The sequence below is a fragment of the Homo sapiens genome, chromosome 8 (assembly GCF_000001405.40).
Source record: "Homo sapiens chromosome 8, GRCh38.p14 Primary Assembly".
In the NCBI taxonomy this organism is placed as follows: Eukaryota; Metazoa; Chordata; class Mammalia; order Primates; family Hominidae; genus Homo; species Homo sapiens.
In genome coordinates this window covers 2,697,311-2,713,007 of record NC_000008.11, presented here as the reverse complement: position 1 = coordinate 2,713,007, position 15,697 = coordinate 2,697,311, and the positions used below count along the sequence as shown (strand labels likewise).

At 36.9% G+C, this 15,697-nt stretch overlaps 1 long non-coding RNA gene across 2 annotated transcripts in view; it reads left to right on the top strand.

The window, feature by feature from the left end:
• Window positions 1–15,697, top strand: part of LINC03021 (long intergenic non-protein coding RNA 3021) — a 198,360-nt gene that overhangs the window by 15,444 nt on the left and 167,219 nt on the right. The window contains exon 2 of one of the 2 annotated variants that reach the window (NR_125426.1): window positions 7,722–7,793. The exons of the other annotated variant lie outside the window; for it this stretch is intronic. This is a non-coding gene — a long non-coding RNA (long intergenic non-protein coding RNA 3021). The remainder of the gene's footprint in view (window positions 1–7,721; window positions 7,794–15,697) is intronic. 2 annotated transcript variants of the gene reach the window in all.

Genomic DNA, 15,697 nt, shown 5'->3' with positions numbered 1-15,697 from the left:
AAAATAAAACCTCGACATCTGTGGGATGCAGAAAAAGCAGTGCTTTTAGAGGACGATTTATAGCATTGGAGAGATGAAAAAAGAAAAATCTATTATTAATAATCTAAGCTTTCACTTTAAAGAATTGGGTAAAAATAAATTTAATATTAAATCAAGCAGAAGAAAAGAAATAAGAAAAAATAATACCAAAATCAATGAAAATGAATACAGAAAAATACTAGAGAAAATCAATAAACAAAACGTTGGTTGTTTGAAAATATTAATGAAGTTGATAAAAACTAACCAGGGTAAAAAATTATAAAAAGAATAAATAAATTAGCTGCATTTCCCTGGGGAGTCTGCCACCTGGAGGTGGGATCATCAATACTAATCATACTGACACAAAACAGATCATTTAAAAAATATTACAAACAACTCATGACCACATAATTGATAATTTAGATGAAATGGACTGATTCTTTGAATTGCACTAACTACCAGATCTTTCCCTGTGTAGTTTCTAATCTGCTGTTAATCTTACTCCGTGGCTTTCAGTTTCAGGTACTATCATTTTTATCTCCGTAGATTGGATTTTAAAATATTTTCCATTTCTTTTGTTTGTTTTCCTTAAACTAATTGCTGATGATATGCTTTTGAGTGTCTGAATTTTCACGTCCTCTAGTGAAGACTGTTGGACTTTGACCTGATGGGGAGTTATGTTTCTTTCTGGACGTGTTAACATTTTAGATGTTGTTAGCTTGGTTCTGAATTAAAGAAGTGTAGCCCTTCTAGAGCTTCTTTGGCTACACAAAGGATCAACGCAGGGCTCCATTCAGGCTGGGGGAAACTCAAATAATTTCAGGCATGGGTGATTTCTGGAAACCATTCATGTCACACCTACCCAACTGGTCTTTGCCGCCACGGAGTTTCACTATACAAGTGTCTGTCTTTATATGCAATAAACATCCAGTGAGACACCTTTGCAGATTTCTGGAGCTTTTTTATCCGCAAAATTCCTTTTGCCCCAGAACTCTGCCTTGCGATCTCTAGCTACCTTAGAGTTCTTGACCTTCAAACTGTCTCCTAAACTTGGTATATTTGCTTTGCTCAGAGTTATTTAATACATCTTCCTCTCTGTCTCTGTTTCACCGTCTGTGCTGTGCTTTCTGGCAGAATGCCAGAGTGAATGCAGAGCTTTCCTGGGGATCACAGCCAGAGTTGTCTATTGACCACCGTCTGAAAATACGTATCTCATATATTTAGTCTCACATAAATATACGTATATATATATTTATGATATATATATCATTATGGCTGGCTAATATAAGTGAAAATAATTGGTTTATAAAGACCAAACTACGTATCATTTTAAAAATATATCACATTTCATAAACATATGAAATTGTTTATATATCATTGTGACTGGCTAAAATAAGTGAAAAAGTTGGTTTATAAAAACAATATATATCAAATTTTTTAAACCTGTGAAATTTGATATATTAAAAATATATATATAAAACATCATAAATATATATGATACATATTTAAAAATATATATCATATTAAATTCAAATTTTAAAATATATTTTATATAATATATGATATATTAAAATATACATATTGAAATACATATATTTTTAAATATATATTATATATGTATTTTTAAGTAGCCTTATTCTGTTTAAATGTAATGTGATTTTTTCCTTCTCAATCTGACTACGAATGCAGGGTGCCAATGAAAGGAGACACACAAAATAATACACTGCTTCTCTTCTAATCAATTTAAATACTCACAGGTTTATCAGTCTTTTGTGTATCCCCAAATTGTCAAATCAGATGGTGTATTTATCAATATGTGTAGTTATCACGTATTGGGACCAGAGCAATGATTAAGAATGTGACATTTTACCTGACTATGGTCAGATGATTTGGTCAGACAACTCTCTGCCAGTCACCATTAAGGTTATTTTTTCAGATGTAGTGTCTTTACGCTTGTACTCTTGGAGTGTACTATACAATACTGGAGCCGACGTGCAAGGGTGAACTGCATGTATTTGCTTACACTGGGAAGAACAACCCAGTTGTTGCTGTTGTTGTGAAGGAAAAACAGCAATGAAAGAAGGACCATGGCCAGGTGCTCTGAGGTGGCACGCAGGAAATCATTCTTCCTAGGGCAGTGTGGGGCGGGGGTTGAGGCTGAGACACTTGCCTCTTGATCCCCCCTCACCTGGTGCAACCACCACCCCACTCATCAAAGAGGTGATGGATCGGGCTCCTTATTCTCTTCTGAAACTCTGCGGAAAATAATTCAAAGAAAATGGCTATTCATTCTGTGGTTTATTTTAAATCAGTGAGAATGGAAGGAATTGCTCAGGAGTATGTGAGTTCCAGAACCAGAAGGCCCATCCCCATGGACATGATGGATTTACCAAGAAAGCTGACAAAGTAATTTTTGAAAGCTCTTGAAAATTAAAAATCTGGAGGTCGAGCAAAATGAATACTGCTCTCAGGATTTTGTTATCACCCCAATTATTAAGTTTTACTCATTGCCATGTCGCTGATTATAGAAGATGGAGGTGCGTCAATTACTGCTCAGCTGGAGTTCACAGCTACGTTACATATTAGAAAGTACAACACATCTGCTTCTACGCTTCCATCTATGTATAATGATACTTTCTATATCTGTGAATTTAAATTTTTAGCATTTTTGATTAAACATTTACAAATTTGATGTTGCATAGCCAGCTCATAAAAGAGCTCTGAGCTCAGATAATGTTCAACATAACAGCTCATGCAGTCAACTGACATAATGCTTAATTGCAAATCTCAAAAAAAGGTAAACATGATTAAATCCAGTGTTTAATAGAATTTTGTTTCTAAATTATTCATAGTATTCTGTTCCTTTAAATAAAACTACACTATTCACATAGATCTTACTATCTAGGTAGAATATGTATGAGTGTGTGTGGATGTGTGGATGTGTTTATGATGTGTATGTGCGGGTGGTACATATGTGGTGTGTGTGGTGTGTATGTGGTTTTGTACTTATGTGTAATGTATGTGGTATGTGTGATTGGTTTGCGTGTGGTGTGCAGTGTGTGTGGTGTGTTTGGTGTACATGTGTGCATTTTGTGTGTATGTGTGTGGTGTGCATGTATGTGTGGTGTGTGTACGTGTTTTAACGTGTGTGTGGTATGTATGTGTTTGGCGTGTAGACGGGCATGTGTTATGTGTGTGTATGTGGTATGTGTGTACAAATAGTAACATTAAAACAGTTTGTAGATCTACCTCTGAAGGTAAAGCAGTAAAGCTCTAGATTTTTTCACAGTGAAATATCTTTATGACTTGAAATAGGGAGATATTTTACAACAGGATTGAAAAGCATTAGCCACAAAGGAAATTATTGATAAATTGGATTTAACTAATATTAATTTCATTGATCAAAATACGTGCTAAGGAAAATTGAAAAAAAAAAAAAAGACACAGGCCAGGTGTGGTGGCTCATGCCTGTAATCCCAGCACTTTGGGAGGCTTAGGCATGGGCATGTGGATCACCTGAGGTCAGGAGTTCGAGACCAGCCTGGCCAACATAGTAAAACCCCATCTCTATTAAAAATACAAATATTAGATGGGTGTGTAACACACACCTGTAATCCCAGCTACTTAGGAGGCTAAGGCAGGAGAATCACTTGAACCTGGGAGGCTGAGGTTGCAGTGAGCTGAGATCCCACCACCGCATTCCAGCCTGGGTGACAGAGCAAGATTCTATCTCAAAAAATAAAATAAAATAAAATAAGAAGACACAGGGAGGTCATAGCTATCTCCAGAATTTATGAAGATCTCCTAGACTCCTGAGTCAATGATAAAATTGATGATTAAATGATGGACGGGCCGGGTGCATTGGCTCACTCCTGTAATCCCAGCACTTTAGGAGGCTGAGGCGGACAGATTGTCTGAGATCAGGAGTTCGAGACCAGCCTGGCCAACATTGTGAAACTCCATCTCTACTCAGACAACAAAAATTAGCTGGGCGTGGTGGCAGGTGCCTGTAATCCCAGCTACTTGGGAGGCTAAGGTGGGAGAATCGCTTGAACCTGGGAGGCAGAGGTTGCAGTGAGCTGAGATTGCGCTACTGCACTCCAGCCTGGGAAACAAAGCAAGACTCTTTCTCAAAAATAAATAATAAATAAATAAGATGAGCAAAATTGTTGAACAGGCAAACAGGCACTTTACAAATGTATAGGATCTACAAATGACCAATTGTCATGAAAAGATATTAAAAATACAAATATTAGTTGGGTGTGGTAGTGCACACCTGTAATCCCCAAATAGCTATCAAGGACTTTTAAATTAACACAATAGATATCACACTACATACACACACAAAGACGGTCTCTCTTTCACACACACACACACACACACACACACACACTTTCACAGAACAGCTGAAATTTGAAAGCTGGAATTATCAAGCATTACTGAGAATGTGAGGTAACTGGAACTCTCATATGCTGTTCTTGGGAAAATGGAGAGATTGGAATACGTTGGACATTAACTTTGTCGATTTTCACTAAAGCTTATTGTTAACTGTGTCCTGTTATTCAACAGGAGGGCTCCTAAGTGTATGCAACAGAAATGTGCACACCCACCCACCAAAATGTATGTAATAAAAGGTTCATAGCAGCATTACTCATAACAGACAAAATCTGAAAACCACCAAACTGTTCCTCAGTGGCGGAATGGATATGCCAATCCTGACCCATTCATGATGATGGCAGGCTATTCAGCAGTCAACAGGTTGAAGCACTGCTCCTCATAGCACAGGGTGACCTCATCAACCCAATGCCCAGTGAAAGAATCCTGAGGAAAAAGAGTGCCTGCTTACTCTGTGATGACATCCTGTGAAATACAAAAGCAGGCAAAAACAATCTATGATCTTAGAAAACCGGTCTATGATCTTGGAGAGCGAAGATCCTGAGAAAGGAAGAAGGGCGTGCATGTAGAGGGAATAGAGCAGCGAGAGCCGGGGTGGTTTGATACAAATGCCTTGTTCTTTGGGGTGGTTATGTGAATGTTTACTTTCTGGTACTTCGATCAAGCTAAGGAACATGGCGTGTATACGTTTTGTAGGAATATTTTATTAAAGATTATGGAAAGAATGAAAAATGCCAAGAAACAGATTAATCTAGCAATCTATTTTTATGGGAACACACACACACACACACGTGCAGGCGATTTGTTGTTTTGGTGTTTGTTGTGTACTCCACCTTACATGATCCATCAACTTGAGAATTAACTTGAATCAACTTGAGAGTTAACTTGAGAATATTTTCTCAGGATTACTTACTATGGTGCTAAAACTCAATACCAAGCCCTCTTCGTTAATCATTATCTGCTTTTATTTTCCTCCTCGATTGAAATTTACATGCAAGAATAGACTGAATAGGATGTCCCAGTCTAAACTAAAGGAAATTAAACTACAGGTACTAGAAATTAAACCACAGTACTAAAAAACTACTAGATTTTTACCCAACAGATCCTATGACTCTTTTGTCTAGTTAGGTAAAACTTAAAATGCATAAAGAATTATTGCAACTTTCTCCGTAGAATCAAATCATTCTGACATATGTTTTCTCACCTACTCCAGCAGGGAGAATATATGTAATTAAATTGTTCACTCCCTTCTACTCAAATTAAAATCTTTCTACTCAATGTGAGACCAGCTGATGTAGAAACAGATTAAACTTAAAATACATGTGTGGGATTTTTTTTTGCTTGTTTTTATAAAACATTTTGAAAAAACATTATAAATACTGTGATAATGTAATAATGGTAAAATACCCCTAATTAATAAATGATACAGTACACTGTATTTAACTTGAGTTTAGGTTAAACAGAAAGAAGGCTTTGTGTGGGTTTAGTTGGCTGTAGGTACACTTTACATACTTCTAAGGAATAAGCTTGGCAAATTCAGTTATATACACACATTCAGCTTCTATGACTCAGAGAAATTCTATGAATTTGAAGTTGTATATTTTACTTTATATTTTACACCCTAACCCATCACTTGAATTTTGAATGATAACCATTTTCTGCTTTATGAATAGCTTTTGCAAACATTAATGCTACAATAAATATTCATGACATGATTCCCTCATTTCAATCTGTCTAAATCATGAATTCTCATTTTCAAAGTGAAATGTTTCCTGTCTTGTAAAAACAAACTTAGTTTTCATTAAACAGTCAAGATCTCAAAGGATGCTGGGCCTTATTTTTTCACATAGTTGGAAGATGGAATGTAAAACTTAGTCAACTTTTTTCTTACCACTTCAACAAACTCATAAATTATATCATTGAGTTTTGAAAGTTGAGAGGGGACAAGATTAAAATGAGACAAAATTAAAACACCAGGGACCTGGGAGTCTATATGATTATCTCCCAAATTTATGAACTTATTGTGGCTATTGTAAATTTAAAAAGAAGTCATGTTGTATATTTTCCTCAATTTATTGCTGCCAGTAGTAGCCCAGTTTATAATCGAACTACCTTGTCAGCAAAGAGGAAAAGAGGAAGCCATTGCCTCTTGTCTTATGAATGATGCTAATGAGTAAACAAGAATGTCATTTCTGTAAAGTAGCCATGTGTAATTCAGAGTGTTTTTCACAGCTTTTCATTCTTTTCAAATATTGAGCTTCGACAAAGCAGTCTTTGGCCTTTATATTTTTTTGTTTCCAATCAAAGATTTTACCTTTCTTCCAAATGAGATTTATGTTGTCTTTTCACGTCTCAACTTTTGTCTCCTGCAGCACTTGTTTATTTACAAAGGACTACCGCCTGGATTTATGGTGACTTCATTTTGATATTTTCTATAAATATGTTTTTCTACGTTTTATTAATATCAATGAAACCTCTCAATTTTCAATTGTAAAACATAATCTATGATAATAATAAATTATTGGTCAGGTACAGTGGCTCATGCCTGTAATCCCATTAATATCAATGAAGCCTCTCAATTTTCAATTCTAAAAAATAATCTATGATAATAATAAATTATTGGTCAAGTATGGTGACTCATGCCTGTAATCCCATTAATATCAATGAAACCTCTCAATTTTCAATTCTAAAAAAAATCTATGGTAATAATAAATTATTGGTCAGGTACAGTGGCTCATGGCTATAATCCCATTAATATCAATAAAGCCTCTCAATTTTCAATTCTAAAAAATAATCTATGATAATAATAAATTATTGGTCAGGTACAGTGGCTCATGCCTGTAATCCCATTAATATCAATGAAATCTGTCAATTTTCAATTCTAAAAAATAATCTATAATAATCATAAATTATTGGTCAGGTATGGCGACTCACGCCTGTAATCCCAGCACTTTGGAAAACCAAGGCAGGAAGGTGGTTTGAGCCCAGGAGTTTGAGACAAGCTTGGGCAACATGGTGAAACCCTATCTCTACAAAAAACACAAAAATAAGCTGGGTGTAGTCATTAGCGCCCATAGTCCCAGCTACTCGGGAAGCTGAGGCAAGAGGATCACTTGAACCCAGGAGGTAGAGGCTGCAGTGAACTGTGATCGTGCCACTGCACTCCAGCCTGGGTGACAGAGAGAGACCCCATCTCTTAAAAAAAAAGAAAGAAAAAAGAAATAGTAAAAATAATAATAAATATTATTTACAGAGAATGTACGTTTTTAGAAAACATTTTCAAATTTGATCCAATTTGTTATTCATAGGAACTCGTGAGTTATGACAAAAAGATATTATGACTCCCATGCAGCGGATGAAGACATTGATGCCCATGAAAGGTAATTATATCCCTAAGGCTGCATAGACTAATAAGAGACAAAGTAAAAACTTTAAGAGTCATCTCTTGCCCTTCACGATTAAAATGTTGGTTAATGCATCTAAAGGTCATTCTTGTACTTATAATCTTGATTTACCTTTGGTCCTACATAATTGTAAGGCTTTGTTTGTAAAGGACAAAGAGAATGAAAAACATCTCTGTAGTCAGCCTAGTCGCTCGGTGTGGGCAAATTTTGATAGCAAGCGGAATCACTTGAATGTGTTCACTGATTTCAATTTTTAATTTTCAATTATCTACTACAGGTCATGAGGGGAAAATAAAATCAGTACACTTTAAAGATTAGTGACCATAATATCTGCTTGAGATACATGATATTGTTTAATTGCATTGCTTTCATGCATGATACATTGAGTTGTCTTAGTTGTCTGTTCCGTTGGCATGAGGTTGAGAAATGTTCTGAACTGTGTCTGTTGCAAACCGAAACATATAAATCCTTGGGCTTTTGAACTGAAATTGGTTTGTTTTAACCTGTTGCTTTCAGATTTCAAGTCTTTAATTTTTTTCCTAATTTAGTTATTACTCATTCATAAAGCTACTATCATAGAAAACCAACATATAAATGTTTTGCTTAGCATGTATGGTTGTTCTAAAGTAGGATTTAACTTGTTAGAATATGTTGTTAGCGTATCAGGCAAGCATTCCTTGTTCTAGAGAAGAAAAATCACATAGTTAAAAAACCTACACTTTAAATTGAAGAATTCAAATATATTACCATATGTTTTTGGCTTTTTATTGAATAGCGGATTCAAAAATTACTTAATTGTTTAAAACTATTGTGACGTTGCAAATAGCAAAAATACGCTTTCTCTAGTCAAGAAAATTTACAAAAAGAATAAAGAGAAACTGAAAACAAAAGGTAATATGCTTTTCAAAATCTTGCTTACAGAATTTTATTTGAGTGGACATCTGAAATGTAAAAGGTATTCTCATATAATTGCATAAGTTTTGCATACATTTACTGAGATAAATTATGTAACATAATTGAATAACTTTATGGCTAATTAATATGTTTTCGATAAGAGGAAAACATCTAGACTTAATTTTTTTAAAATTTTTATGGAAGATATAAGACAGATGTGATTAGTGATTACTACATTTAACTACAAATGACAGCATGAATAAATAAAGAGCAAGGCCAGGTGCAGTGGCTCACACATGTAATCCCAGAAGTTTGGGAGGCTGAGGTGGAAAGGCAGCATGGGCCCAGGGGGTTGAGAACAGCCTGAGCAACAAATCAAGGCCCTATCTCTAAAAATAAATAATAAATAAATAAATGTGTATGGTGGTGCACAGCTGTAGTCCAAGCTACGAAAGAGGCTGAGTCAGGAGGATCACTTGAACCCAGCCCATCTCTAAAAATAAATAATAAATAAATAAATGGGTATGGTGTTGTACACCTGCACCTGTAGTCTAAGCTACTAAAGACGCTGAGTCAGGAGGATCGCTTGAGCCCAGGAGGTTGAGGCTGCAGTGAGCCATGACTGCACCACTGCATTCTAGCCTAGGTGACAGAATGAGACCTTATCCAAAAAAAAAAAAAACAGAAAAAAGAAAAGAAAAGAAGTAAAGAAAGGAAAAAAAGAGAGAGAGAAAAAAAACCACTGACATGACCAGATAATTTTAATGACTTTAAAAAAGTAAAGTTCTGCATTATTGTTCTCTTTCCAAAGTATCCAAAGTTCAAATAGAACCTCTACCCTGTTCAATCATTCAGATAGGTCTTTGATGATAGAAAATGTGACTTTACTGAAATGAATTGAAGAGAGTTTAAATTAAACTTATGTATTGGCATTGTGCAATTTTTTAATTGTTTCCTCACTCACAAATTTAAAAATGATGAATTTTTTTACTAACCATAATTTTAGGGAAAACGGAACTTAAAAAATAATTCTAGAAGTAGGGTGGTGAACTCTCATTGTACAGTGAATTGTGCAGACTCTCTGTATATTATTCAGGGTTCTCCAGAGAAACAGAACATATGCATATATATATATATATATATTATATATATAATATATATATACATACATACACATACACATATTTATTTATTATATATTATGTGTGTGTGTAAAATACAGGTGCATATATATATATGCACATTAGGAGATATATGGATTTACAAATAGATGAGATAGAGATACAGATAGAGAGACAGAGAGATTAATTATAAGGAATTGGCTCACAGGATTATGGAAACAGACAGATCTCAAGATGTGCAATCCACAAGCTGGAGACCCAGGAAAACTGACGCTGTAGTTTTCATCTGAGTCCGAAGGGCTGAGAACCAGGACGTCTGAGGGTGTAAATTCCCGTTCCAATGCCAGCATTCTTGAAACCCAGAAAAAGCCAGTGGGTCAGTTTGAATCAGCAGGTAGAACATAACCTGCATCCCAGCTTATGGCGCTCAGGCCGGAGGAGTTCCCGCTAGCTCCTGGGAGGGCCGTCCTTTTGTTCTATTCAAGTCTCTAGTTGGTGGCATGAGGCCGAGCCAGCATGGGTAGGGCACTCCGCTGGCTCTGTCTCAGGATCCACGTGTTCATCTCATGCAGAAACACCCTTATAGCCAAGCTAAATGTGTAGCCACATGCCTGGGCACCCCATACCCCAGTCAAGTTAACACATAAGATTATTGATTACATTCTGCAACTTAGAACTGGTGTTTGATTTCCAGTTTTAGGTAACATCGTAGCCACTGCTACAGCTTGACACCCCATACCCCAGTCAAGTTGACACGTAAGATTATCCATTACATTCTGCAACTTAGAACTTGTGTTTGATTTCCAGTTTCAGGGCTATGTGTAACATCGTAGCTGCTGCTACAATGCGTTCATTAAAATAAAGATTTAAAGGTGGCTGCTCCAAGTGTGGGAATATTGGTATCCTGAAATTCCTGGGAGTTTCCTTGAGAATGTTTTCACCATAGAAGCTGCATGATAGATAATTTTAGGAAAATTCTCAACTTATACGTTAAGCATATGTTTCAGCCACATATATGTAACAACAAATGGGTGCCCGAGAGGCCTTTGGTTGTGACAATTCATTCCTCATTGCTTTCACAGGCTGAGGATTCCCTGTCACTTTTTTCCTTTGTCTCCTTGGATGAATGCCTACTAAATTCAGTTAAGAGTTTCTTTCACCTCCTCCACCCCCGACCAGTCCCTTTTCTAACCGTGTTCTAAAGAATATTCATGGCAATGGCCAGGGACAGAGGGATGGTCAAGTTGGCATCAAAAACTTTCCCTTCCTTGTTCTCCACAGGGCTCCAGGTTTCCACGGTGCTTTCAAGACCGCATTTAAAACCGACTCTTGGGTTCGAAATGGCTGGAGAGACTGAATTAGGCTTACAGTTGAAATGTAGAGGGATGTGATTTTAATCTTTTGGGTACCAAGGGCTGTTATTATCAGTGAGTAATAATTATGTTGAGAGTGTCTAAGCAAAAATAGAGGATATATGCATGTAACAGAGAGGAATGAGTAAGAAAAAGCATTTTGCCCGTTTGTCTGTCATTGTTAATTCATTAAGTGGATATAGCAGTGATCTAATTTTATGTCAAACTACGTGTATAATATATACTAATTGTGTTAAAATTCATGTTTTAGAAAATCCTGAAAAATCTGACGCTTGTTTCAGAAACAGATTTATATTTATTTATTTATTTATGTTTTCTTTTGAACCCTGGACCAAAGTTAGAAACGAAATTTATTTTAAAGCAGTAGATGGTGGTGGTCAAAATAGTAATGAATAGTGATCAGCACCCAAGATTTTCAAAATTATGTCAAACACAGTGTCCAAGCAGTAATATGGGATTTAAAAAAATACATTTATGGGGGATGAAATGAGCATAAGGACTTGGTCATCCACACATAACTACTCCACTGAGTAAGAAGTTCCGTCTCTCCCACGGCTGGTTTGTCCCCACTTCCGGACCTGTCTTCTTTCTCTGTTGCAGTTGGCAAGGTGGAAGGTTTAAGGAGGAAAGACTTACACAATATTGTTGTCATGCAACAGAGCCCGTGCATGTAAATGTATTATGTGCAGAAAACAAACCCGCTTGTGATTGCGATGGGGACTGTTTCCATAAACTTTTTTTTTTTTTTACAAGAAAGGAAAGTCTATTGAATTTTAAAGAGCCAGAAAACTGCCGGATGTGCTGACAGCTAGAGGTGTCTTGGGTACAAAACACGTCAAATGAGCCTTCCCTGCATTCACTCTAATATCCTTCATCCAAAAGCAGGTCTTTCTTCTTAAAGTTCAGTTTTCATTATGACATAGAGATGCATCTTGGTAACAAACAGTTAGCGTACGTAATCTTATTAATCTTACTGTGTCCGTCAGTTGCATTTTTAAAATAGTGGTAGGCGTATCTGCAAACGTACACCCAACGTCTCTGAGAAGGATATGGGCTCATCCAGTCTTCATCACGAGATCCACATACATCTCTTCATCTGAGTACTATCACACAGAAAAGACTGACGGCTTGTGACAATTGTACAACATTGCTCTTTACCCGTACATAGCTAAGCAATGTTGATATCCATGTTAGTAAGGACTCAACATTCATTTTCAGGTGTCGTTTCACTTTTGATTCATTTTCTCTCTGTGTTTATTTATTTATTTATTTAGAGTCTTGTTCTGTTCATTCATTCACTTTTTAAAACTAAATTATAAGAAAAAAGTGTATATATCGGAAATGAGAAATATAAAATAAATATCATTACTACTGAGAAAATTGTACTGTAATTGAGGAGGGAGAAGTTGTTTGTTTCCCTTTGATCTCCCCCAGCACTTAGCAAAAAGCCTTTTACAGAAAAATGAAGATAAACATTAATAAACAGGTTGATCAGTTAAATGGTTTAATGAAACAAATTAGTACATCTATGGAACTCTTTTTCCATCCGTGTTTGCTAAATCAGAGGAATGACTAATTACAGAGTGCTCAGGCTAATTAAGAGGGGACTGGTAATGTCCTAGGAGAACTGCAGATAAGGTTAAAATCATGTCCAACATAAACTTCTGTTCCCTTCCTATAAGCAAAGAGATTAAATGTGTTTGGGTTCTCAAAAATCCCAGGCTCACATCTTTACATTTCTGTGGACAACCAAAAAGGGAAGCAATCAAGGGTAATAGATACTGTGTAAACTGGGTTAAAAAATCCGTACAGTGCTAGGGATGTAATAAAGATGGTCTTTCATTCTGTGAAAATATAATGAACTTCCTCAAGGCAAATTACATAATATCATAGAACTCAATGTTTCTGCTACTATCGGGTAAGGTGACCATACACAGTCGGGAGGCTGTGGTTGCATGCGAGGTGTATGCTTCGTTCCTCAGGGTTATTGCTGCTTCCCTCATCTCAGCTGAGCAGAAATATTACCTAGCTAAAAAAGACACTCTGGGCTCAAACAGATGTGAAAAACACAGCAAAACTAGGACGTGATGCTCATCTTTCTTTTCTTTCCTTTCTCCTTTGGAGTGACACATAAACCAAGCAGTCAACATTTTTTTTTTTTTGGTGTGTTTATTCAAGTAAGCAAAGCCTTTTTCGTATGAGAAATGAGAAATGAGAAATGTGCCTGCTTCTCATGACTGATAGAAACAATTCCGCATGTAGTCATAAGAGCCCCAGTTCAAGGACGTGCCTATTTTAGTACAGGCCTTTGCAGAACGAGAGATAAATGACCCACTCAGAACAAGAACTCAGGACCAGAAAAAAAAAAACCTAGGCAGAACCAAAATTGAAATTACATTATTAGGGCCAGGCATGGTGGCTCACATGTGTAATCCCAGCACTTTGAGAGGCCAAGGTGGGTGAATCACTTGAGGTCAGGAGTTCGAGACCAGCCTGGCCAACATGGTGAAACCCTATCTCTACCAAAAATACAAAAATTAGCTGAGCGTGGTGGTGCATGACTGTAATCCCAGCTACTCGGGAGGCTGAGGCACAAGAATAGCTTGAACCTGGGAGATGGTGGTTGCAGTGAGGTGGAATTGTACCACGGCACTCCAGCCTGGGCAACAGAGTGAAAGTCCACCTCAGAAAGAAAGAAAAAATTATTAGATAAGGCTATTACTACTTCTGCATTTTCTTTGATATAGAAATTTATATCAGAACCCTACTAAGCCATATTCAACAATTTATACTCAAGATCCATGTATTAAAGCACTTCATGCACTTATTTTAATAGATAGTTTAATTGCTCTTGCTTGAAAATTTGAAACTCAGTGGAGCAATCACTTTTACCATTGTATCTTCTGTACTTCCTCTAAGACGTAGGAGGAATTTGGTAAATATTTACTAAATTACTGTGGACCTCCCTTCACACATCAATTCATGCCACCTATCTCTCAGAGTTCAGTGATAGTTCAATGGCAAAATGTATATAAAAATGTCAGCCCAGGGTACCGCACATAGAAGGTCATTTTGCACAGGAAAGCTCATGGAATCTGAAGTTAAGTGTCAGGTATGATAGGATAGAGGATGTCAGATAAATGCACGGGGCCCTCTCCTCGATCTGCCACGAATTAGCTCCAAGGAACTTTTTATGCATTGCTGGAGCTGTTTGTCTTCCGTTCCGCATATCTGAAACACGTTGGCTGTTTGTGAAGAAGAGCAAGGTAGCCTGTGTGAAAGCTCAGAGAGCAGCAGGACAGCCTCCACGAGGCGCAGCCTCGTCATTTAAAGCATGTGGGAAATTAGCACATGTTCCTTCTCCAACTTTAGAAGTCTCTTCTCGGTGACTTCTAAGAGCAGCACTTATTTGATGCAAGGAAAAGGGACTTAGTCCTCATGGGATATTAAGTATTCATGCCAGGCACACTTTCTCATGCAAGTCAGTTAAAATCTTTGCTGCTTATTATCTCGTTGACTTCAAAATGACTACATTTCTTTATGCGTTCATCGTACATGTCAATGCATGTTTGCTTTTTCATAAGAAAAGTCTTCTTTTGTCAAGGAAGGTATATTTGTCATGTTTCATTGAATGTTTCCTTCCATGAATAAAATATTACTTTGTTCTCATTTAAACTGAAGAAATGGCTTCAGGGAAGTTGTATCAAAGCAAGTGAGAGAACCTGACACTTGAAAGACAAGTTCTAACTAGGACAAAAGTGTATTATATATTATGAGAAAGGGGTGGGAGATCAATCCAAGACATTCTCCAGGAAACAGCATGCACATCATTCTGGGATGGGAAGCAGCAGAACTCGTTCAGGAAACCAGGAAAAGTTGTGTAATGAGGGCAAAGAGTAGCAGATCCTCATGAGACTAGGAAGGGATGGAGTAGACTTCGGCGTCGAAGGACATCTTAAACATTTTAGTATTAATTTTGTGATCAGTCAGAGTGAACGAAGGATAAAAGAAAGGAAAAGTAACATAAGATTTTCATTTTGTAAAGAGAATTGGCCGACATAGAGCAGAGCAAGAGTGACCTGGAAACTTAGTCCCAGGGTTATGCTGTCATCCTGCAGAGACAGACGTGCTTAGTAGTTTGCTGATTAGGTTGTGAAAATGGAGAGAAAAGAATGCATTACAAATTTAGAAGAATCAATGGAAAGTCACTGGTAATGAATCAGGTATTGTGATGGGCGCAAAGGAGGATGACTTTTTGCGGCTGATAGCCAGGATCTGGTCTGCATGGAAACGACTCAATAAAACAGTTAACCCTGCGGAAGACCAAATGGGGAGGGAAATCCAAGAGCTTGGTTAGGGACACAGCGCATCAGAGTTAAAATCTGTCATTGACAAGCTACTGCAGCGAATGGATTTGCTTTTCCTAATTCAGTTTGAGTTATGTGTTCTCGGTACTATTTCTGTGTAACATACCTCCCCAAAATTAGTGGCA